General features: G+C 35.3%; 1 protein-coding gene and 1 long non-coding RNA gene across 9 annotated transcripts in view; one reads left to right on the forward strand and one right to left on the reverse strand.

The window, feature by feature from the left end:
* GLRA3 (glycine receptor alpha 3) overlaps nt 1-20820 on the reverse strand; it is a 192328-nt gene extending 171508 nt beyond the window's left edge. For 6 of the 8 annotated variants that reach the window (XR_001741329.2, XM_047416196.1, XM_047416195.1 and 3 more), the window contains exon 1: nt 20314-20820. Coding sequence is in view for 5 of the 8 variants with exons in the window: in XM_047416196.1 (XP_047272152.1) it covers nt 20314-20384 (71 nt within the window). In the remaining 3 variants the exon portion in view is untranslated. Of the gene's footprint in view, nt 1-1584; nt 1653-20313 lie in introns of those variants that run through there. The other 2 variants (XM_017008630.2, XM_047416197.1) reach the window with 2 other exon arrangements.
* Nucleotides 20821-23300: 2480 nt separating this feature from the next.
* The window catches only part of LOC101928551 (uncharacterized), a 44237-nt gene continuing 43643 nt past the window's right edge, over nt 23301-23894 (forward strand). Inside the window, exon 1 of the long non-coding RNA NR_125900.1 lies at nt 23301-23459. This is a non-coding gene — a long non-coding RNA (uncharacterized LOC101928551). The remainder of the gene's footprint in view (nt 23460-23894) is intronic.

Below are 23894 nucleotides of genomic sequence, written 5' to 3' on the forward strand. Positions count from 1 at the left end.
TGCCAGTCATATAAAAGTATACCACATACAATTATGTACAGTACATAATACTTGGATAATGATAATAAATGTTACTGGTTTATATATTTACCCTACTATACTTTTAATCTTTATTTTAGACTGCATGCGTTCTAGTTAGATTTTTCAAAGTTAGCTGTAAAATATCCTCAGGCAGGTCCTTCAGGAGGTATTCCAGAAGAAGGCGTTGCTATTGCAGGAGATAACAGTTCCACACATGTTATCCCTGAAGACTTTCCATGGGACAAGATGTGGAGGTGGAAGATGGTGATAGTGATAATCCTGATTCTCTGTAGGCACAGGCTAATGTGTGTGCTTGTGTCTTAGTTTTTAACAAAAAAAAAATTTAAATGTGAAAAAAATTTAAACCTAGACAAAAGCTTATAGAATAAAGATATAAAGAATACATTTTATAAGCTGTAAAATGTCCTTTAAGCTAAGCATTGTTATCAAAGAGTCAAAAATTTAAAAAAATTGAAAGTTTATAAAGTAAGAGTTACCGTAAGAAAGAAAATATTTTTTAATTTAGTGTAGCCTAAGGGCACAGTGTTTAAAAATTCGACACTAGTGTACAGTAATGTCCTAGGCCTTCACATTCACTCACCACTCACTCACTGACTCACTTAATACTGCAAGCGCCATTCATCGTAAGTGCTCTATACAGGCAAATCATTTGCTTTTACCTTTAGCAAACGTAGTTTTACTGTATCATTTCTATGTTTAGATATGTTTAGACATATGTATACAATTGTGTTACAATTGCCTACAGTATTTAATACTGTACATGCTGTACAGGTTTGCAGCCTGGGAGCCATAGGCTGTACCACATAGCCTTGGTGTGCAGTAGGCTATTCCATCTAGGTTTGTGTAAGTACACTCTATGATGTTCATACAATAACTGTATCACCTAACAATGTATTTCTCAAAACTTTTCCCTGCTGTTAAGCAACAAACGGCTGTAGTCATAATAGTAAGAAAAATGTGAACATTTAAAAATGATTGCTTAGCTGGGTGCTGTGACTCACACCTGTAATCTCAGCACTTTGGGAAGCCAAAGCAGGTGGATCACTGAAGGTCAGGAGTTTGAGACCAGCCTGGACAACATGGCGAAACCCCATCTCTACTAAAAATACAAAAATGAGCCAGGTATGGTGGCACATGCCTCTAATCCCAGCTACTTGGGAGGCTGAGGTAAGATAATCGTTTGAACCCAGGAGGCAGAGGTTGCAATGAACCAAGATTGTGCCGCTGCACTCCAGCCTGGGTGACAGAGTGACACTGTGTCTCAAAATTAATTAATTAAAAAATAAAATAAAAATGATTGCTTTTAGGAAGCATAACTCAGTATAAGGGAGGTAGGACTAAAGAATGCTATGAACAGCATTAGAGTGCTATCCTCACCATTTGATTTTTTAATCCATATGCAAATTTTACTTTAAAAAATAATTCAAAGTAAAGGATTAGAGATATAGAAGAAATTAAGACTTTTATAGAAGAGAATTTTATAAATAAGACAAAATAAAAAGCCTTAAAGAAAAGGCTGATTTATTTAGTACCCACACTTACTCATTTTCATCTTCAAATAGGTTTTGAAAATGTACAATGTGTCGAGCACTGTCTGAGGACTCTGGATTCTGCAATAAATAAAATGGAACAGAATCTTTGGTCTCATGGAGTTTACATTCTAGCAGAATGGAACATTATAAACCAGAAATATGAGAAATTGGTAAATTACATGCTATTTTGGAAGAAAGGAGCAGTTAGAGAAGAACAGAGCAAAGGACAATCAGAAGTGAGAGGAAAGGAAACAAAAGATGCTGGACTAGAAACCTCCTCAACAGAATATTCACTTCTCTATTCTGTGGCAGAATGGATTAGCGGTGGGGAGAGGCAAGAACAAATTCTCAAGGCAACTCTCTCCCCTTCAAAGTAAAGGAAACACATGGAATGGATAAGTAGTATTAATCCCCTAATTGGAACATTTTTCTTAAATATATATATATTATATACATATGTATTTATTTGTGGTCACATATATTTGTAGAAATATATAAAATATAATCTGGAAAGAAACATATTAAATGATTTCAGTCATTATCTCCAAGAAGGGAACTAAGACAGTGTTGGCAACCAAGGGAAACTTTTCATTTATCCAAAATATTTGGATTTTTATATTGAAGACATAATTATGTATTACCTAAGTAATTGTAAGTGAAATTAAATCCACATAAAGACTTTGAAATCCATTTTAATTAAATGGCTATAATGATTAGAGTCAAAATTATAAATGCAAGTTTGTGGTTATATATCAATTACCACAGTAGCAGCTTCATACACAAGCTTTAAAAAAATGCCAGTTACATTCTAAATCCCTGTAGCAGCATTTCAGGGAAATAGTTTGTCAATATTACTTTCCTTTGTCAAATCCGTGAAATAGCAGTTGATTTCTTAAAATAAATCTCAAGCTATAAAATGTTTCTCATAGGTATTGTTGCTCCTAGCTTCCTTCTGGGAAGGGATAGTCTTTCTTTTCTCTCTCATTCTTTTCATATGCAAAAAGACTTCCTCCCTAAGCCTGATTCTAGACAATTCATCTTTACAGTTTGTTTTTGAAACTGTTTTATTCTAGTTGTGTTCATTCACCACACACATAACACACACACACACACAGAGAGATGCATGCACTCACACAGACACAGACACACACACAGACAGCATGCACAAGGTACTTCCCCGCCTGTTTTTTTTTTTTTTTTTTAATGAAAAATAAACAGGGAATTTGCTCTGACTCTAGCCTAGAGTGTGCTGTTGGATAACAAACTTAATAAAAACGTTCAGCTACCAATAAAATCAAAATTTGGAAGGTAAAATTTTCTTGGAATAGCAGATGTTACCTTTTCTTTAGTCAGAAAAAGGTCAGGGCACCCCCAGAGTCACAAGAGTAATTATTCAAAATCCAGGATGTGGCCTGATCTCTGTTAATTTGACTGTGCATTTTTGCCAAAGGGAATTTTATCAATTCTTTTGCTTAAATGTCATGTCCTCCACATTGCCTTTCTTGGCTTAGCTGAGCCAGAAATGATCCCTCCTCCACTAAATTCTTATAGGCCATAGGTTATATCACAAATGTGGTTCTCATTCACTGGTTTTCAATGTTGATATGTAATACTTACAAGTCATAATTCTCTTTACTAGCCTGGAAACTTAAAGGCTAAGGGCAGCAATCATGTCATATGACACATATGGTGAATTAGAAAAACAAATAACACAACTATGTTGCTTTGCTGTAATTTCTATAGTCCTCTAGAACTCAGTTTGATAACGGGTGGATCATTTGAAACTCAATTCAAGAACATTTTCTTCCTTATATTCTAAATATACCTCGAGCAGTTTAACTTACCAAAAGGTCACTGAGCATGATTTCAGGTACATTTTTCTAGTCATAATTTCAAAATGATTACATAAAATCAATGTGAAAAAAGTTGATCAAGAATTGAGATTATCTTCTAAATCTTATTTGGTAAAATACTTCCTAGAACTTTAAAATAAGCACAAAGCATGTTTAAAATAAAAACACTATATACATTTTATTTTAATCTATGTGTATTATCAGAAAAATACTACAAAAATACTGGGAAAAAGTTATTTCACCAATCAGAAATAAGCAATACTGACAGAAATTACCATTTTACTTGGGATATTTTAAGTTATAGATTTACAAAGGAAAAGATACAGCAATAGTACTAATGAAATGCATTTTTATAAATCTTCAAATCAATAAGATTCAGGACATAAAAGCATGATATTTTGAAGCACCAATCTCTAGAGTCTCCAGACTTAAAAACAGATGTACACAGATATTGCAGTGAAATCATTCTAAATTTATTTTTATAAATAGTATTGAACCAGCAGAGTAGGGACTCATTCAGATTATGGTAGATATTCATGCTTGTATAACTACAGATGTTTATGTTAATATCCCCTTTAAATGGAAGGCATTCTATCTTAAGTATATTCAAGACAGATTGGGCCTTTTTATTCCTGTAGTGCAAGAAGCCCTACCTCTGCCTGGAGAGAGAAAATGGCATAGAACAAAGGAGAAAATTAAACAATAAAGCAGAAAAAAAGAGTCTATAATTAAAAGTGGTAAGGACAGGTAAATATAGCACTAGGAATGGTGTCATTCAATTTCACTCTACTGAATATTACGCTATACCTCAAGGTTTTTATAGAATTATATTCTTTTTAAAAAGTAAGAGAGAGCAAAGTTTAGCAAGATGCCATCACTGATGTTAACATTATTCTTAAGACTAATACTCAGTTTATACTTAAAGCTAATATTCTAGGTTACCCACTCTCTCACCTTTCTCTCCTTTTCTCACCCTTCCTCCGTCTTTTTTTCCTACCTTTCTTCTATCTATATGCCTAAACTATTATAGGCAAAACATTAACAGTTCCCCAGGAAACAAAAGGGTTCAGACAGCCTCTAAATTATAGAAGTTATTTCCTGTGGCAATAAGAGCACACGCGTTCCTTTAATCAAGCATAACAAAACCCCTAGAGACTGTGCTTTGTACAAAAAGGCTAGCTATTTTCAACATGTAAAGAAAATGGTTCAGAAATATAAGTGAAAAATATAAGCCAACACTGCCAACCTTCATGCTCATATATAGAAGAATTTTTTAAAAGAGTCAAATGTCTGAATTTGTTTCAGTCTCATATTTTCCAATGAAAAGATTAAATATTGTCCTATAATTCTAATTAAATGAGTCATATTTTACCTTTTACAGAGTGATGAGATGATTATTTTTTCTCTAGAAAAGTCTAATACAGTGCTCCTTTGGAAAAATAAACAGAGAATTTTAATTAGGTGATGTGGGTCCTATCTCTGACTTTGCCACCAAAATTAGTGCAGCCTTAATAAATAAAGATCATTCCTTGGCTTCATTCACTTCCTCTTCAGAGCAATAGAAATGTCTGCTGCAATGAGGCTGGACTGAATCCTCTATGAAAACTACAGCGTAGCCACACCACAGTACCAGAAATAACACAGACTTGGCTCTATTCTGTGTTGCCTCGTAACCAGTTGCATCAGCCTACACTGGTCTGTTTCATTGTTCATCTTTATCATACTTGAGACTTCCCACTTCAAAGATATAATTGTGCATTCAACTGATGAATTATGCTGAATTATGAAATTACAACCTCCAAATCTATAGCCTAATATATTCTGCCTCTATTCTAACCTCTTTCTATTTAGTTCCAAAGACTTAGCCCTTTTCTGATTTAAAATCTATCCTTCAACTATTGCTATTAAAACTTTTCTTTGTCATCTTTATTTAATGACTTTGCCCTATCTCTTCTGTATCCCTCTTGTCTCTTTCTAAGTATTTCCAAATCCGTTGATGTCTTTTCTCCAGACTATAAACAAGCTCACATCTTCTGAAACAGATGCCTTGGCGGGACTCACAAAGGGGTTAGCTCGTTTACTCAGCCCACAGCTCTCAAACCCTCACGGGAAGGGGAGCACACAGGTGAGAGTCTGCAGGAATCAGGACAAAGGCTTCTGGGCGCTGGCAGGAGTAGAACTCTGTGTGGCTCTGCAGCAGCATCAAGGGGGGGTATCCATGACCCCAGAGCTCCAAAGAGCATGTATTACAGTGTGCTCTTTTAGCTTTGCTGTCCATGGCTGGCTTAAGTGTTTAACAGCTCAATAGGGGGTCAGGGTGACAGCCTTTTGCACTTGCCTTCTTAGTACCTGAGTTCTTGATGGCATCCAGGAAGAATCAGGTTGCATGAATGAATTGAAGGGTGGTGAATGTAGAGGATTATATTGATTAGTGGAAATGGCTCTCAGCAGGATGCGGAGCTGGAAAGGGGATGAAGTGGGAAGGCAGTCTTCCCCTGGAGTTTGGCCATCCCTGAGCGAAATTTTCTTCAAAGTTCCACTGTCCAAGCAGTCCCTCTGAAGTCAAGCTGCTTCTCTCTGATGTCCAGCTGCTTCTTCTCCTCTCTCTTTTTCTGCCACTCTGCCACTCTGCCAGTGGAGCTTGGAAAGCTTGATGTATTAGTTCATTTTCATGCTGATCATAAAGACATAACTGAGACTGGGCAATTTACAAAAGAAAGAGTTTTAATAGGCTTACAGTTGCATGTGGCTGAGGAGTCCTCACAATCATGGCAAAGGAGCAAGTCATGTCTTACATAGATTGCAGCAGACAAAGAGAGAGAGCTTGTGCAGGGAAATTCCCCTTTTAAAACCATCAGATCTGATGAGATTTATTCACTGTCACAAGAACAGCATGGGAAAGACCTGCCCCCATGATTCAATTACCTCCCACCATGTCCCTCCCACAACATGTGGGAATTCAAGATGTGATTTGGGTGGGGACAGAGACAAACCATATGATTCCATCCCCAACCTCATCCAAATCTCATGTCCTCAGATTTCAAAACCAATCATGCCTTCCCAAGAGTCCCCCCAAAGTCTTAACTCATTTCAGCATTAGCTCAGAAGTCCACAGTCTAAAGTCTCATAAGTGACAAGGCATGTCCCTTCTGCCCAGGAGCCTGTAAAATCAAAAGCAAGCTAGTTACTTCCTAGATGCAATGGGGTTATAGGCACTGGGTAAATACAGCCATTCCAAATGGAAGAAATTGAGCAAAACAAAAAGGCTAGAGGCCCCATACAAGTCCAAATGCAGCAGGGCAATCAAACCTCAAAGCTCCAAGATGATCTCCTTTGACTCCATGTCTCACATCCATGTCATGCTTATGCAAGAGGTGGGCTCCCATGGCCTTGAGCAGCTCCACATTGTGGCTTTGTGGGTATAGCCCCACTCCTGGCTGTTTTCATGGGCTGGCATTGAGTGTCTCTAGCTTTTCCAGGTGCTCAGAGCAAGCTGTCAGTGGATCTGCTATTCTGAGGTCTGGAAGATGGTGGCCCTCTTCTCATAGCTCCACTAGGTGATGTCTCAGTAGGGACTCTGCGTGGGGGCTCCCACTTCACATTTCCCTTCTGCACTGCCCTAGCAGAAGTTCCCCATGAGGGCTCCGCACCTGCAGCAAACTTCTGCCTCATCATCCAGGCATTTCCATACATCCTCTGAAATCTGGGTGGAGGTTCCCAAACATCAGTTCTTGACTTGCGTGCACCCACATGCTCAACACCACATGGAAGTTGCCAAGGCTGGTGGCTTCCACCCTCTGAAACAACAGCCCAAGCTGTACCTTGGCCCATTTTAGTAATGGCTGGAATTGTTGGGATGCAGGGCACCAAGTCCCTAGGCTGCACACAGAAAAGGGATCCTGGGCTGAACCACAAAAACATTGTTTCCTCCTAAACCTCCAGACCTGTGATGGGAGGGTCTGCCACAAAGTTCTCTGACTTGCCCTGGAGACATTTTCCCCATTATCTTGGTGACTAACATTTGGCTTCCCATTACTTATGTAAATTTCTGCAGCCAGCTTGAATTTCTCCTCAGAAAATGGGAGTTTCTTTTCCGTGGCATCATCAGGCTACAAATTTTCTGAACTTTTATGTTGTCTCCCTTTTAAAAATGAGTGCACGTGGGAATTCAAGATGAGATTTGGGTAGGGACACAGCCAAACCATATCCCTTGATAAAATGCACATTCTGATTCAGTGAGTATGTGGTGGAAGACAGTGTTTGTAGTTCTAATAAGCTTCCTAAAGGTCCACACATTGAATAGCTAGGTCCATGATGGGGGAGGACTTCTCCTCATCTGCATGCCCCAGTGGGTTATAGGTTTGCTGTGTTTTCCATAGCTCAGTCTTCAGTGTGTGAGCTGGGGACTGGCACAGCCGGATCCCAAAGGTCAGGGATCTCTGTGAGTCACCAGGTTTATTTACCCCAACTGGATGAAACGTCCAAGTGTGCTTCTCAACAATAAAAAATATTGGAAAGCCCTGCCCCAGAATTCTAGCCATCAAATCTCACCTATTTCCAGTTCTGTATATTTATTAAATGGATATCTCATAGGCATCACGTTCACTATACATATCTAGAACTTAACTCACGATACTTGTCCATAGGACTGTTCCTTTTCTTGTATATTCTATTTTTGTCCTGGCACTATAATTCTCCAAGTTACTAAAAGAATAAATATGATTATCTTACATTATTCTCTCTTTTTCTCACATCCAATCAATGGACAAGTGGTTTTTTTTTTTTCTTGGTCATTTCTAATTGTGTTTCCTTCTCTCTGTTTTTGAAATGTGCTATAGCATTGATCACATACTATGCTCTCTGAAGCCAGTTTTGCCCCTCTTCACTGATCAACACATTTTCTTCACAGTTATCCATATTATTTCTCTCTTTTTTTAATTTGTGTTCCCAAATTCTTGGCATGCTTTATATTTTAATTTTTAATTTTAATTCTTGTGGGTACATAGCAGGTATATATATTTATGGTGTGCATGAGATTTTTTGATACAGGCATGTGATATGTAATAATATCATGTAAAATGGGGTATCCACCCCTCAACTATTTCCATATTACTTCTTTAGTGATATTTCTGAGACGATCTGACCATGCTCCTTTCCTACCTGTCACAGTTCTTTTTGCTTCAGTGAAGGTCTGAGCTCCACAAGGCAGAATGCATCTGGAGCCTCTGGACATCCTTTAGAGATGCTTCCAAGAAGTTCAGCATGCCACTTCTATTTACAACTTCTTGGCCAGAACTTGGCCACAGAGGCACACAAGCCTGCCAGGAAAACTGCAAAATCTTTAACATCTTGGAAGTGTCTTTAAAGAGAAGCCTCTTCGTTCTGATGGCTAAAAAGAAGCCAGAATGAATGAAAGCAGAGCATCTATCTTCGATCTCAAAGAAGCAATCCCGCGTTAAGGGTGGCAAAACAAGAGAGAAGGATTGGCAACCTCCATTCCAGCCTTGAGCTGTTCACTTGCATAGTTTTTCTTTTCCTTTCTTTCTTTTACTCTTGAAAGGGAGAAAAATCTTTCTTAAACCAATGCTATTGTGCACTTTTTGTCACTCACAAATGAAACTAATCTGTACTAAAACAACAATAAGAGGCTGGTCTGTTCATCCCTTATTTACTTTCTTGCCGTTCAACAGCCCTCACTTCTACTATACAATGAATTTTAGAAACAAAGATAGATAATCTGGCATTAAGGTTACTAATATATATACTTTTTTGAGATGGAGTCTTGCTCTGTTGCCCAGGCTGGAGTGCAGTGTCACTATCTCGGCTCACTGCAACATCCACCTCCTGGTTCAAGCAATTCTCCTGCCTCAGCCTCCCTAGTAGCTGGGATTAAAGGTGTGCACCACAACACCCAGCTAATTTTTGTATTTTTAGTAGAGATGGGGTTTCGTCATGTTGGCCAGTCTGGTCTTGAACGCCTGACCTCTAATGATCCACCCACCTCAGCCTCCCAAAGTGCTGGGATTACAGGTGTGAGCCAGTGCGCCTGACCAAGGTTACCAATATTTAATTAAATATGAAATTATAGCTATAATGCTAAGTATATATTTTCTGCTAAAGAGAGATTATCAGATTTTGACCATGTTAGTTTTTAAAAATTGTAGTTGGCTAGAACAGCTCTACACTTTACATTTTAAAAGTAGCATATTAAATATAATCACTCAGTCTATAGAAAAGTCACTCAGTTCTTCAAAGAAAGAATCAAGATCTAATCCTGAGTCTTATTTCTCCAAATTTATTCTTATTTTCACATGGCATACAAGTGAATGAGGAGAGGCAATAGAATTCAAGGACAGTTAATTTAGAAAATATTTAAAATAAATGAGCTATTTCTTATAGAGGCATATATCTTGGCTTTTTACTACTATGTTTTTGAAATTTAATTCTGATTTTTCTCTAGGAATTTGAATTTTTTTCATATCAAGCTTTTCCAGTGTAATATTTGATGTGAGATTATATTTATGATAACTATACATATACCCACAGGGAATGATATGTACTTTGCCCTTTTGAAATAGAGCAAAATTTTAGATTCACAGTTATCACTTAGGGGGAAATATTTAGGCTACACATAAAACCTAATTCTCCACTATAGTCTCAGGAGGCACCAGCAAAGGTCTGCAGCAGAGTCAATGACTTTGATGATTCTCACTCTATTTAAGATTTGCAGGAAGAGATACCCTAAATTTCAGAGATTTAAGGGGAAAAATATTTTAGAATCTTTTCAACTGTTTTAAGGTCTTTACAAAGAAACAACATAAAGCAGAAGGAAGATTTCTAATAGTTCTATCTTTATAATCCTCTGCTGCTTCTATTCTTACCAATAAATAAACCAGGAGGCAAGTTAAGGACTCAGAGGTCCATTTATTTGTGCTAGACAGTAGGATACAGAAAAAAAGAAAAGTCTCTTGGTATCTTAATAGACTAAATGTAAGTCACTTCTTATAAAGGAATGATTTAATAATGTGGAAAATAGTTAATGCATATTAGATTGTTTTGTTATTAATAAGAAAGTAATTTACAAAGGCAGATTGTCTCTAAGTTCTTTGGGTTAGGATTTCATTACACACTTCCATCTTTATCACTTATCAGAAATGTAATCACTTGTTTATAAAATCAAGAAAACTTGTACGTCTCTTTTTTATTGGATGTTTGTCTTGTTTAACCTACTAATAATTAAGTTTCCCTTTAAACTTCTGATAAGTAGAACAAACTGATTTTAAATGATGGAAATTAACAAAAACATGCCTATGTTGACACCAACTGGACAAGTGAATATAGAGTAGCTTATTAGAATATGTTCTTCCCTAACAGTCAAGTGCTGACAATGAAAAATTTTGTAACAGAGAAAATTATTATTTGAATAAACATTTGCTGATATTTTATAACTCTCTTGAAGAGTCATACAGATTTTCCCCAGCAGCTAGTCCTAACACAACAATACAGCGTGGATTTATTTGAAAAGAAAACTTGAGGGCCCATGTGGAAATATCTCCATGAAGTTTGCCATATTCTCTATTCCACATGGAAACTGTGGCCTGTGCCAACAGTGCTTTTCCTGACCATTCAAATTCCATCCTCTTTTCTGCCCAAATTCTATCACCTGCTCAAGATTCACTTAATATTTCCTCCTTCTTTATAAAGAATTTATACTCCTTTCCATTCCAGAAAAAAATGTTTTTTCTCAATATTTATCATTATTACTATTTCGGGTAGTTATTCATAATTACATTTTCAGTTATTTTCAGCAAAGAATCATCACTCATCTACCTTTTATAGAGACTCACAGGATTAATACATAAATGTATGTAAACAAAGAGACAAATGTTCTGTGGTACCAATGGTTCTACATCTATCTAGAGAATTGGAAACTTATTAGAGATTCTGATCCCAGAACTCTGATAGGTGCAATAGCAGAAATTCAAGTATGATACCTTGAGAATATGCATCATTTATTTGATTAATATTTAGCATTGTCATTTAGTTATGCTTTCTCTTTTCAGTGCAAATATCTTTTTTAAACTAGATGATTACATCATACATTGATTTAAAGATACACCTCATATATGAAATAGCAATTTTCTACAACTATTATGGTATGAAGCGTTATTTTAGTGAAAAATATTTAAAAGAGAAACCATCACACATGAAAGCTGATTACTGCTGAAAAGAGTAGAGTTGGGAATTGTTTCCAAATAAGAACAAGTAAGGCATAACTGAGTAAGAAAATGAACATTTTTAGATATTTTTTTCTAGACATTTTTCCCTGAAAAGGAGAGATAAGGGGCAAGTGGAAAATATATTACCACAGACACATAAAATTAGGAATAAAGAAAAATAAGCTGCACCAAATTCCTCGTCAAATGTTCCCCTGAATGTTAGAAGCGCAGAATGATAACATAGTAGTTTTGGTTATGCCTGGAGTTATTTATCTGAAATTGTTAATGTGCTTTAGAAAAGAAGAAATAGTGCTTCATGACAGAAATTAGTGAGCTCTTTCAGCATGCTAGACACTCTTTTAAGCCCAGCAGAGAGAACTGGGAATGTATTTTGGTCCCTGCCCTCAAAAACTTCACAGTTTGAGCTAGACAGAGAACTCAGACAGTGGCAACAGCGCTGGGATATGTGGCACTGGCACACAGAGGAAGCATCCTCACCTAGACTTTAGGGAGACCAGAGGCTTCTTAGAGAATGTGAAATGAGTTAAACAGGAATTAGCCAGGCAAAGAGATGGGATTCACATTTTTTTCCCAGTCATTTGATGCAGGACATTTGGGTAGTCATTTCACTGAGTCTCAAATAACTTATCTTCTTCAGGCTTCCACCTAAAGTATTAGATGACCAATCCGACACACTCCCTCCACCACCCACAGAAAAGGCAAACATTATTTGCTAGTGATTTCCTCACACCCTACTGCTATAGTAATTACATCTATTTTATTTTCATTAGTAGTATTTTACTTGTTGCCACAGTTAGCTGACAATCATTTTTTTTTTAAATTTCATAGTAACATTACTGTCAGATTTTTGTACATATTTCCTAACTTCTGAAAAGGAGAACATCCAGAGCTAATATCAGGACCAACTGTTGAAATCTTGCTTTATAACTAAAAGTTAACTTTAAGAAGGAATGTAAACTTTTTACATGTATTTGACATTAAAAACAAAGTCAACAGAGTCTAAACCTAGTCAACAGTGTATAGAAAAACAAATGACATAGAAATGAAAATATTTCCAATATTATTTTTAAAGTTATTTGAATAAAATTATGATATGACGTTAGTAAGAGCAGCAGTGTCATGGAGAAAGTCCAGTGGCTTCTTGGAACTATATGCATTTATGGAAAAATATACTGCTAAAGTTCTCTAATGCTTTTAAGGCTAACTTATTTTACAGAGTGTTTTAATTGTTTATTGTAAAAAGCTGCAAAGCCCTAGTAAAATTCAAAATAAATAAATACTTTTTTATGGTTTTATTTCTATGTCATGACCCAAAATTGTAAATTATATGACCCTAGTCAAAGTAGCATCATAAAAGCATAGCAACCATTATAACAAGGAGTGGTATCATCCCAAGGTGGGTGGGCAGAAGTTTTTTCTCAGGGGGATAAAAAGCCTTTTTATTTTTATTTTTAAAATAAATATATAGAGAGAGTACATAAGAAAATACATGATGTATCTGTGGTATTACAATTTCTTGGAAGTCAGTTACAAAAAATGTCTACAAAAGGTGCTTTAAGAGGCAATAATGAAAAAAGTTGAGAAATATACATTACATTACACAATACAAATGCATTACACAATACAAATTCGGTTTTTCATGGGGCAAAGAACCAAACCCTTCTCTTTTCCACTAGATGCTGCCAATTTGTATCTGTTTTACAGCCTCTTCTTGAAGTAGTTAATATCTTCTAAGGAGATTGTTTGATCCTATAAACTTTATGATCTCTTGAACACAATACTTCCTTTTTCTCCACTTGATAACACAACTAAATAGAATTCAAATCTAAAATCTTAGAAAGATGTGACAGACAGGCAGATGTCATCTCAGTGCTTATATATTATTTGTTGAGCATGCATGACATTGAATTAAACATTATGGAGGTAAAACAAAGACCAGAAATGATTCTATCCCCATGGGAGTTAAAATTTAGATACACAGAGACAACTTGCATGAAAATCTAAAACACAAATTGGAAATGGATATCACAGGTTCTCCTCTCCACAGTGATACAGTGTTAAAAGTTGGGGTTTTGCTTCCCCAGTACTTAACACACTGCTTTGGATGTAGCCATTGCTCCATACATTATTATAGAAGTTATAGAGATATTCAGGTAGAATGCCATGGGCTCTCTGAAACTAGAGAATCCAAACTTCATGCATGGAGCACCTCCATGGACATTATCATTTAAAATCATGGCTCAAATATAGGCCCAATTTTTATGAACAGGAAGGTCATCATAAGTGGAGAAAATCCCCAAAGAACACAGAAACAAACATTTATGGAAGCACATATAGGAAAAAATAGTTCATTTTGTCTAGGAGAAAACAGAGGACATTTTATTTTTTACTAATTAAAAACAATAAATATTTTCCTTCTGAGTAAACAAGTCCTTATCACTAGGAATTTTAAAGATTAAGGGATGACCACCTGTTGAAGATGTTCAGAGATTCTAAAATTTAGGTAGGATACTGGATGGACCAGTTACCTCCATTGTAAGCCCAATCATTCTATGTTGGCAATGGTTGTATAATATTATCAGAAATATATCAGGGTTTGGCCATAATTCCTGATTGGTTATGGCAAATGTTTGTATGTACTCATGGAGAATTCTTCATCGCTTACATCGGAAATGCTTCCATTCAGTAAGCTTTTTCCAGAGACCTTTAAATTGTATGCTATTCCTAATTGTACCATTGAGGTGATTGCTTCTGTGCATCACGTTGCCTACGAGGTACTAGTAATACTTCCTCCTAAAAGCATCTCTAGTAAGGAGATTCTGAAAAAATTTCAGAAATACATTATGATGGAGCTGCATTGTTTTACCACTGTTTCCTCTTCTGATAACATCTCAGGATTTAAAACTCCATTTATTGAAAATGTGTGTTGTTGCCATGCAGTTGTTAGAATAGCTTCATTTACTGTTACTGAACAGCTCATTCCATATATACACTGTTTGTTGCTAAACAGTTGGTTCTGTCTTTGAATTTCTGCCTGCACTCCAGAACCAGTTCTCTGGAGTTACTTGTCTCTTTTGGCCATTTCCCCAAGCAAAATAAAGCCACAGGCTGTACCATCCACCTAATAAAAAAACAAAAAACTAAAACTCAAAAAAAAAATGTATTTCCACATATACATGTACATACATATGAATTTGAGGCGGGTGGACCGCGAGGTCAGGAGATAGAGACCATCCTGGCTAACATAGTGAAAACCTCTCTCTACCAAAAATACAAAAAATTTAGCTGGGCGTGGTGGCATGTTCCTGTAGTCCCAGCTACTCAGGAGGCTGAGGCAGAAGAATTGCTTGAACCTGGGAGGCAGAAGTTGCAGTGAGCCGAGATTGCACCACTGCACTCCAGCCTGGGCAACAGAGCGAGACTCTGTCTCAAAAAAAGAAAAAAAAAGAATTTATTTTCTATAAGTACTATTAATGCAAGTATATAAATAATCCTGTGGAAAAGGGTAGGAGACAAGTTTGGTGGGCAAATTAAGGAGGCTTTGCTAGATATGTTTCATGATATAAGGAAAAGTAGATGATCTACCTTCTCCAAAATAATTCCCTGAAAATGTCCTGAGAAAACTTGAGTAAAGTATGTCATCTGTAAATATGGACTAGTTTATTAGATTAGCTGAAATTAGAGAAATGCTAATGTTAAGGTCCTCTTGATAAGTGATAGAAAGATATTAATATATGCTATTAATAATAACTGGTCCTTGAGATAAATAGCATAAAACTGTGATAAATCTGCAACTTCATCACTTGGTTCTAATAAGCCTCATCTCTACAGCTGAGCTCAGAGATCTCTGAGTACTTTTCCATGTTCTGTTCCAAGTGTTCTATCCTCATCGTTGACAAATGTATTTTCTATTCTTTCTTTGCACCACAGTATACTCACCTTTATAACCTTTTGTAAATCTGTTGTCTGGCAATTAAATCTATGCAAATACCTGAATTCCTAGCTGAGGCCAGGAAACCTAGCTCTTCTGCAAGCATCTTAACCTCAAAATACCCCGAACCAAATTCAATGTCCTCTTTTCCTCCAACTATCCAAATCCTCTACTATATTTCAGTATTTCTTTTAAGAAACTATATTTTGAAGAAAAATTCTCACATGGTTTCCAACTTCTAAAACAATCAGATTAAACTTTTATTCTAGTAGTGTGTCATTGTTTCTTTACATAGCTCTTAAATAATTGCTATCACCAATCCTATGACTAATAGTAATTTTGAGGTAAACACTACCTCTGAAGAAGAACCGATAGGGATATTTTGAGTCAAGTTATAAAACTATTCCTGTAATGATGACTACTCAGTTATAATTAAATTACTTCTTTCTAAATTTTAGCCATATTCCATCGTGAAGCAATGCTGTGACTCCTCCATATTCTTGTAGTTTTATTAATGTAACTAGCTCAATAGTTGTTGTTAGTAGAATATAATTTTAAATCATGAACTGTAAATTCTTCAACTGAATTTGACAGTCACCTTTTCCCAATCACATACTATATATCTGTATCATTCGTTTTGCATAGAATATTCTCTTTATATATCATTTTGCCCCTTGAACAAATATCTTACAAGGCCCACCACAAGTACCAAGGTTTCTTGATAGTTGCGCTTCCTTATATTCCCTAAAATATTGCTATCTGTACTTTTTTCTTTTGATGTTTGACCCTTTTCCGTTTATTCTAGACTCTAAGTTGCTAAATGGAAAAGGTGACATTTGTTCAATCATCCAAAGCTAAATTGTGCTTAGCACAATTTGTGCACAGAATTTCGTGAATAAATCTTGTTAAATTGCTTAATCTTACATAGTAAACACATAATTGCTGATTGACTTGCCTCAGTACACAGTTGTGTGTTTAAGGGAAGAAAAACTATATAGAAGAGGAAATATTTTTCAAGATGTTCTTTCAATTGGCAGGGCAAATTGCTTGAGGCATTGACTGGACTATGATTCTTCTATACCTGGGACAATTTATTGCTATTTTCAGGGAAAAAGGGAAGGATAATGTTATATATAGCAAAGATTTTTTTAAAACTATACAGAATCTTGCTACACCTCCATGTAGTAAATCATAATAATAGTAAAATTGTATTCCTAGAAATATAGTTTTCTTCAATATCTTACATAGAAAAATAGAGACAACATTAAAAAGGATTCCTCTCATCCTCCAAAACATACCAAAAGCAAAACCAGTAAGCTCTGTGCTAAGATATTTTACTAAGGCTTTGAAGTAAACCAAGAAAATATTACATTTTTTATTATTATGACATCTGAAATTCACACATTCAAGTTTTGACACGATGTGCCCTAATTTATTCAAGTAGCAATACTGTGTTGATATCAACTTGTAAAGATGAAAAATTAAATGATATGGCAAGAAAGTAATCAACTTAAATGAAATATTTTCTGTTGCTTCCCTGCTTTTGGAAGTTGTTCTGCAAGCTCTTCATAATCATCACTTATCTGCATTTCAAAGAAAGCTGAACACTGATGTTTTGTTCTTTATTTTATTAATATGATAACTAAAATCCAAAAGCCATAGAAAAATTATTACATAAAATAGCAATATCCAAAACAAGTATGAAAGTTTTAAAAACTTTTTTGTAAATATTTTGTAAATTTTTTTCTGCTGCTTTTGCCTTAATAATGCTTATTTACTAAAGTATAGATGATACTTTAGTGCTTTTATGTTTTTGAAAGCACTAAAGTTTCATCTGTAGGTTTGTAAAAATATACTAGAAATACTAAAAATTTGTATAGTACGATAACATTACACTGATCAAATTGTGTACTAGTAAGCAACAGAAACTCTTATACATTACTGATATAAGTGTAAAAACATAAAACTACATAGGAATACTGGCAGTATCTACTAAAGTTAAACACACCCATGCCTGTGCTATGCTTAGCAATTCCCCTTCTAGAGAAAGTCTTGGACCTCAACATCATGATCCCAAAATGAATACATGTATTCACCACAAAAGATGTTCAATGATATTCATAACAGTAGTAACAAACCCTAAGAAATACCCAAATACCCATCAACAGGACAATAGATAAGTTAATTTTGATGTATTCATATAATGGCATATGATACAACAATGAGAATGAATAAGCTATTGCTACATGCAACAAGATGGATAAATCATATAAACATAATGCTTATAAAAATAAAGCAGACTCAGAGTAATTATATAAAGTTCTAAAATGGAAAAGATATACTTATTATATAAGTCAGGAGAGTGATTACCTTTGGCCAAGGTAGTGCCTTGGAAAGGATTATGGTGGAGGAAGAGGGTGGGGTGAGTGCTTCTGTGACAGTCACACTTCTACTTGCTGAACTGTAGTCTCTTCACTTGGGTGTGTTCCCTTTGTAAAACTTTATCTAGAGGGAAATGTATTATTTGTGCACTTTTCTTTGTGTATGTTGTATCTCAATAAAAATTTTAAAAAAATCTTCAAAGCCTATGACATAAAAAGTCTGTACTAGTGAATTATTTACTTATAAATATCTGTGGTTTCTGGTTGTTGTTGTTGCCTCCAAATTGCCCTGGTAAGCTGTTTTGAAATTTAAAAATATGTTAAGAATTAATGCCAATACTTTCTTTTGTTTTCATCTTTTTTCTTGTTTCCTTTGTGCTCAATACATCAGGGCTAGAATTAGAGAATAAAGAATCATTTCCAGGAAGACATTTATTTTACAAAATATTTCCAGTAGAGGGAGCTTCCTTTTTTTTTTTTTTTCTATAGGAAATCCTCTTTTGGGGGTCATCACTAAAAGTGAAAATGCTTAATTTTTTACATATAATTAAAGTTCTTCATAGAGTGATAACCTACTCTCATCTAAGACTAGTCATGGATAGAGAAAAATTTATTTGATTTATGAATGGAGAAAGAAAAACTTGATGAAGAATATAAGTTATGAAGTAAACTTTTGTATGTTGTATGTCTTTTCAAAGAAGTACATTTTTGGGCTTCTCATAAAATTTATTTCTAATTAAAATTATTTAACATTAAAAAAGATAAATTCTTATAATCACAATTATCCATTTGAAATACTTTTTCATAACTTTTAACAAAATTGGACAAAAGTCAGAGAATCTAGTGATGAAGATTATTTATCTCAGAACATGTTTTAACAAATATCATAGTGATTGCCATTATACAAATTTAACCTCATTGACCAAAACATTTTAGTTTCTGACTTTAGCTTCCTAAATCTAAGTATCTATCAACTAAGCTAATCTGATTTCTTTGAAAAAAATGTATTTTACCATCTAAGCCATTAAGAAATATAGAGAAATAATCAATTTATATTTTAACATTAAGTTTGTACTCCTTTACATAATAATTTCAGAAATATAAAAGCTCCATATACTTGGCTTTAATTATTACAAATCAAATTTCTGACAATAATAAAGTCACAAAAATTACTAGATCATATCAAGATGATTTTTATTGAAAATACTTTGGTTAAAAATAGTTCAACTTCTTATTTTGGGAAAAAATCAATAATTTCAGAAATAATAACCATCACAGTTTCTATTATATATAGGCAAATGAAAATAATATAACTTTCTATAAGGTAGTTTGAGATACACTATTGGTTTTTATAAGGTAGCCCAAAGATGAAAAATCGACATAGCAATAAAGAATATTTAAATACTTCAAGTAGAAATCAGTATGCATATAACTTAGTTACTCTAGTTATTGGACTTCAATCCTCCTTTGAAAACCTTGCAAGCCATAAAAATGGAAATCCTATGGTAATTAATTGTAACAGTAAAATTAAATTTATATTGGTGGGTCAAAATTCTATATGAGCAGTACCTTATTTTTACACATTCATTAAGAACGGGGTAAAATTATCTGATCCTTTGTCTAGCTCTCTTATACTCTTTAAATTATTTTTTTAAGCCTACCAAATATGACAGGATCATGATAAGAAAATGACATGTCATAGAACAATTTCATAGTTTAATGGCTTTGTTATAATATTACTTTACTCAAGAAGATTATTCCTGACATAGAACATATCTAATAATCTATTTATGATTTTGCCTTCATGTATTACCTGAGCTAGGTCATTAGAAAATAGTACTTGCAAGGCCCTTATTTTGATTCATTTAACTTAACCTCTGAATATAGCAACAACATTTGGAGTTTCTCTCATCAGTAAATGACTATGGTCTGTATTTCTGCATTAAAAAAAGTAATGTCTCGTTTCTAAATACTAAATGTTTTGTAACTTTCAAAAAAAGAGTAACACCCAAATTATATAATTCACTTAGAAAACGGGAACTTTAAAAGCAATTTGAGAAGGAAAACGTAGGCTTTTAAAATAATTTTTTTTTCTCAGCTGCAAATAACGCAAGATGCCAGTTACTAAAATGCACTAATCAATGAAAAAGCAAATGAGTAGGTCTCAGTAGATAGACTGCTAAATAATTTAGACAGAAAACAATACGATTAAATTGATTGTTTCAACAAGTCAATATAGAATTGCAAATTTCCCGGTCTCATCAATAACAAGTGGTTGCAACGTAATGCACAGGCTTAATGAGTTCTCCGACTGTTAAATCCAAGCGAACTCACCTGAGTAACAGTGCTGCTTCCCAGAAGTAAAATCCCGAAACTAATGTCCGAAAGTGTCTCACGTGGGCCATGATACGGAGAGATATTCACGATCCTGAAAATAGTCTTATCCAAGGCATGGGGAACCAGAAAGACAGAATGAAAATGTACAATCTAACCCCGCATGGTGTTGGTGTAGACTGATGCTTGGGAAGCTTCAGCACCTTAGACAGCTCCCCGCAGTATGCGGACCCCTTCTCAGCATTGAGCAGAAGTGGAGAGTCACAGTGTTATAAATGTGCAGGTGATTTTTACAGTGAAATTACAAAAATGAGTGAGATGAAATGTCTGAAGTGCCTAGGTGCTGGGCAACAGTTCTCTAAAGCTCCAGCAGCAAAGGAAGAATGTTCGTTCTTCCCTGACTGAGACCCAGGATTGGAGGAAGAAGAGCAGCAACAGCCGGAAAGAGGACGCCTCTCCACCTGCTCCAAGCGCCGCCCGCCGGAATCCAGCTCTCCACCTTGGGTTAAAACCCGAGACCCGGAGCGCGGCAAAGGGAAGCGGGGGTGGGGCCGGACAACCCGGTCCTGTCGACCAATCACGACCGCACAGCGGGACGGAGTGACAGGCCACTTACGACGGTAGGCGGGGCTTAGCGCTTCACCCTTTAACAAAACCCAAACAAACCAAACGGCGACTGGAGCGAGGTGGGCGGAAAAAGCCACCTGGGAAAGTCAGCGGTTTTGTGGATTAGGTAGTGTAACCCCGCAGGAGGGACCCTTTAGTATTCCCTTCCGGGAAAAGGCACACTTTAGGTCTTCTCGGATGTGACACTGTCTGTTACACTCTACACCGAAATACAAGAGTCAGCAGTAAACCCAGACCCTGGCGGAGGGCTGGGGAAGAGAAGACAATGTGGTGCGTGAACGCCCGTGGAACGGAAGAACCAGCTGCTTCTAGAATCCTCTCAAGCCTGGCCAGCTTCTGGCCAGGAAGCGTTGTTGACTGGATTTAAGTTGGGTTTCCTTAAGTAATAGTAAGGGTTCTAAAAAGATGAAGGTGTGAAGTCTAAAGAGATGGCTGCTAGAGACGCAAGGCTTCCCACCATTTTTTTTTTTTTTGGTCTTTCCCGTTTTACATCTTCACAGTAAGTTTAAGTGAGAAGAACAGCTAGATCACATGGTACTATAAGGTCCATCTTTTCTCCGTCATGTCAGCTTTCTGTCCTTCTCTTTCTCTATTCTTTTCCCCCTCTCCTTCTCTGTCCCTGTTTTCCTCCCCTCCCACATTTATTTACTTTGGGTTTTGGATGGAAGACTGGAAAAGAAAAGTGTGTGTGTGTGTGTGTGTGTGTGTGTGTGTGTGTTGTGTTGTTTATGTATTTCAAAGTAATAGAAGTTTTTTAAAAATTAAAACTTCTTTGATCTTTATAGTGGCTCTTATTTACTATCAGCCATGATCAAATGTTCATTCCTTGAATCTTAGATTTTCCCCAAAACTTCCTCAGATATTTATTCTGAAATCCCTACTTTCATCTCTTAACTTAGTCTAATGACATGTCAAAAATGATTCCTCATCTTGACACGTTGGTTATTCCTGAAATTCTCTGTTTAACTGGAAAGCATAAGTCACCACCTTCCAACCCTCTCATATGAAAAATCTCTCTCTCTACACTTTAGTAAAAAAGTTTTATTTACATTCAGTGACAATAAAGAGTTTCCTGGATTTATTTCTAGATGTTTTTATTATACTTGTCTCTTTTCACATAGTGGTTTTCTGATTTAAATCATAAACTGCCAGAAGTTTCATAAGGGACACCATTGATTCTGCCCAGGAATATTTGTACCTGGAGAAGATTCATACCATTTTTATCAACTTAATTATTCACGATGAATCTTTTGAAATCTCACTAAGCACAAAAGCTTTTTAGTTGGCGATTCTTTGAATAGCAGTAATAATTGTTTAAAAACGTACGCATTAAAAAACTTCAAAACTTTATTTCAAGAATACGTGGATTCCTTGCTCTGCTTAACCACTGACTGGGTACTTTGAGAAAAGGTATCCTCTTTAAAAAATATCTTTATATATATATATATATTTAAAGTATATTTATTGAGAAAATTAGATTAAATGATCTTGCAGATTTATTCTCTGGCTTGATGGAGACAATGTATGTTTAAGTCAGTAAATTAATAGATAATATTAAAACTCTCTTTAGAGTAATCTGGAAAATTAAATTACACAATGGCTTAAAAGCCAGGATAATTTTAACTATTTCAACTTGTAGTTAACATAAAACATAGAAATATACTTTATAAAATTAGTACGGATATGAAATTAGTATGGATCTAATCCTTTTTAAATATAAAGTTCATATGAAAGAATGGCTGGAATCCTCGTAATACTCATTTTTCATAACACCATAATTATTGTCTTCAAATTACTTGTCACTCTTTGTTATCATCCTCCTCATTTATTTGTTTGACTTTTTCACTAGAGTGAGGACAATGGCCACTATTTAGCACAACACTTAGCATATAATAGATACTCAGTATTCGTTGGGTGCATTAATTATCACATTGGAAACACAATATGTATTTTCTCTATTAGTAAATGAAGGAAGTTGTTACAGTGCATTGGGAACTAGACTAATTAGGTATATTTAAAATTGAGTGATTGTGGTGCTCTGTTTCTTTCAGTTAACGTTTGATGTTTAATTTTCTAGTGTATTTTTGTTGAGGGATATTTATATTGTTTGTTTTAATTTCTATAAGGTCAAACAGAATATTATGCATCTACATATTTTTGGTAGCTGTCTTGTAAATCGTACTCTTTTCAGAGTAATAGTACTGATTGAATGGGTAGGCGAGTGAATGTGTTTTTGGGGTAGGGGGAACCTTCTGTGGCTGACGATTAGATGATCAGCCCATTCATATACAACTGTGCTGGATTGTGACATGGCCACATCTCAGCTTTACCTTTCGTGGCCTTTATTATTGCTTTCTTGCACTAATGGATTCTACTTCACATTATATAGGACATGGGACTTCGGAGCTTAATGGGATATCGATCTTCATCATGCTTAATACTTACTTTTCAAGAGAAAGCAATTGTAGACCAGTGTGGTTAAGTGACGGTTACAAGCCCTCATATCCAGTAAGCAGAAGGTATCAAATTTCAATCTGGGGCTTTTGGTTCATTGTCTAGTTTTCTTTTGTTCACTACCATGGAGCTATTTTTAAGGCACATTTATTCTATTTTTTCAAAATATGTGTACATTGCCTAAGCAACAGAAAGATCAATTTCAGTATAATGATAAAGGTGCCTCTTTTATTTAGTTAGCTTTTTTACATTTCCTCAGTTGTTACTACCAATGATCTAAAACCTGGGATATTTTACACATATTGTTGAGATGCTTTGCTATTTAATAAAAGCCCCATATACTCTTTAAGTCAATGTAGTATAGAATTAGTGCTAGTTTACTGAGAGTTGATTGGATTCAGTAGCATTGAATCATTCTAACCATCTCATCAAAAGTTGATATACAGATCAAAATGCCAGTTTAAACACTTACCAAAAGTAATGTTACTTTTGAAATAATT

The sequence above is a fragment of the Homo sapiens genome, chromosome 4 (assembly GCF_000001405.40).
Source record: "Homo sapiens chromosome 4, GRCh38.p14 Primary Assembly".
Lineage (NCBI taxonomy): Eukaryota > Metazoa > Chordata > Mammalia > Primates > Hominidae > Homo > Homo sapiens.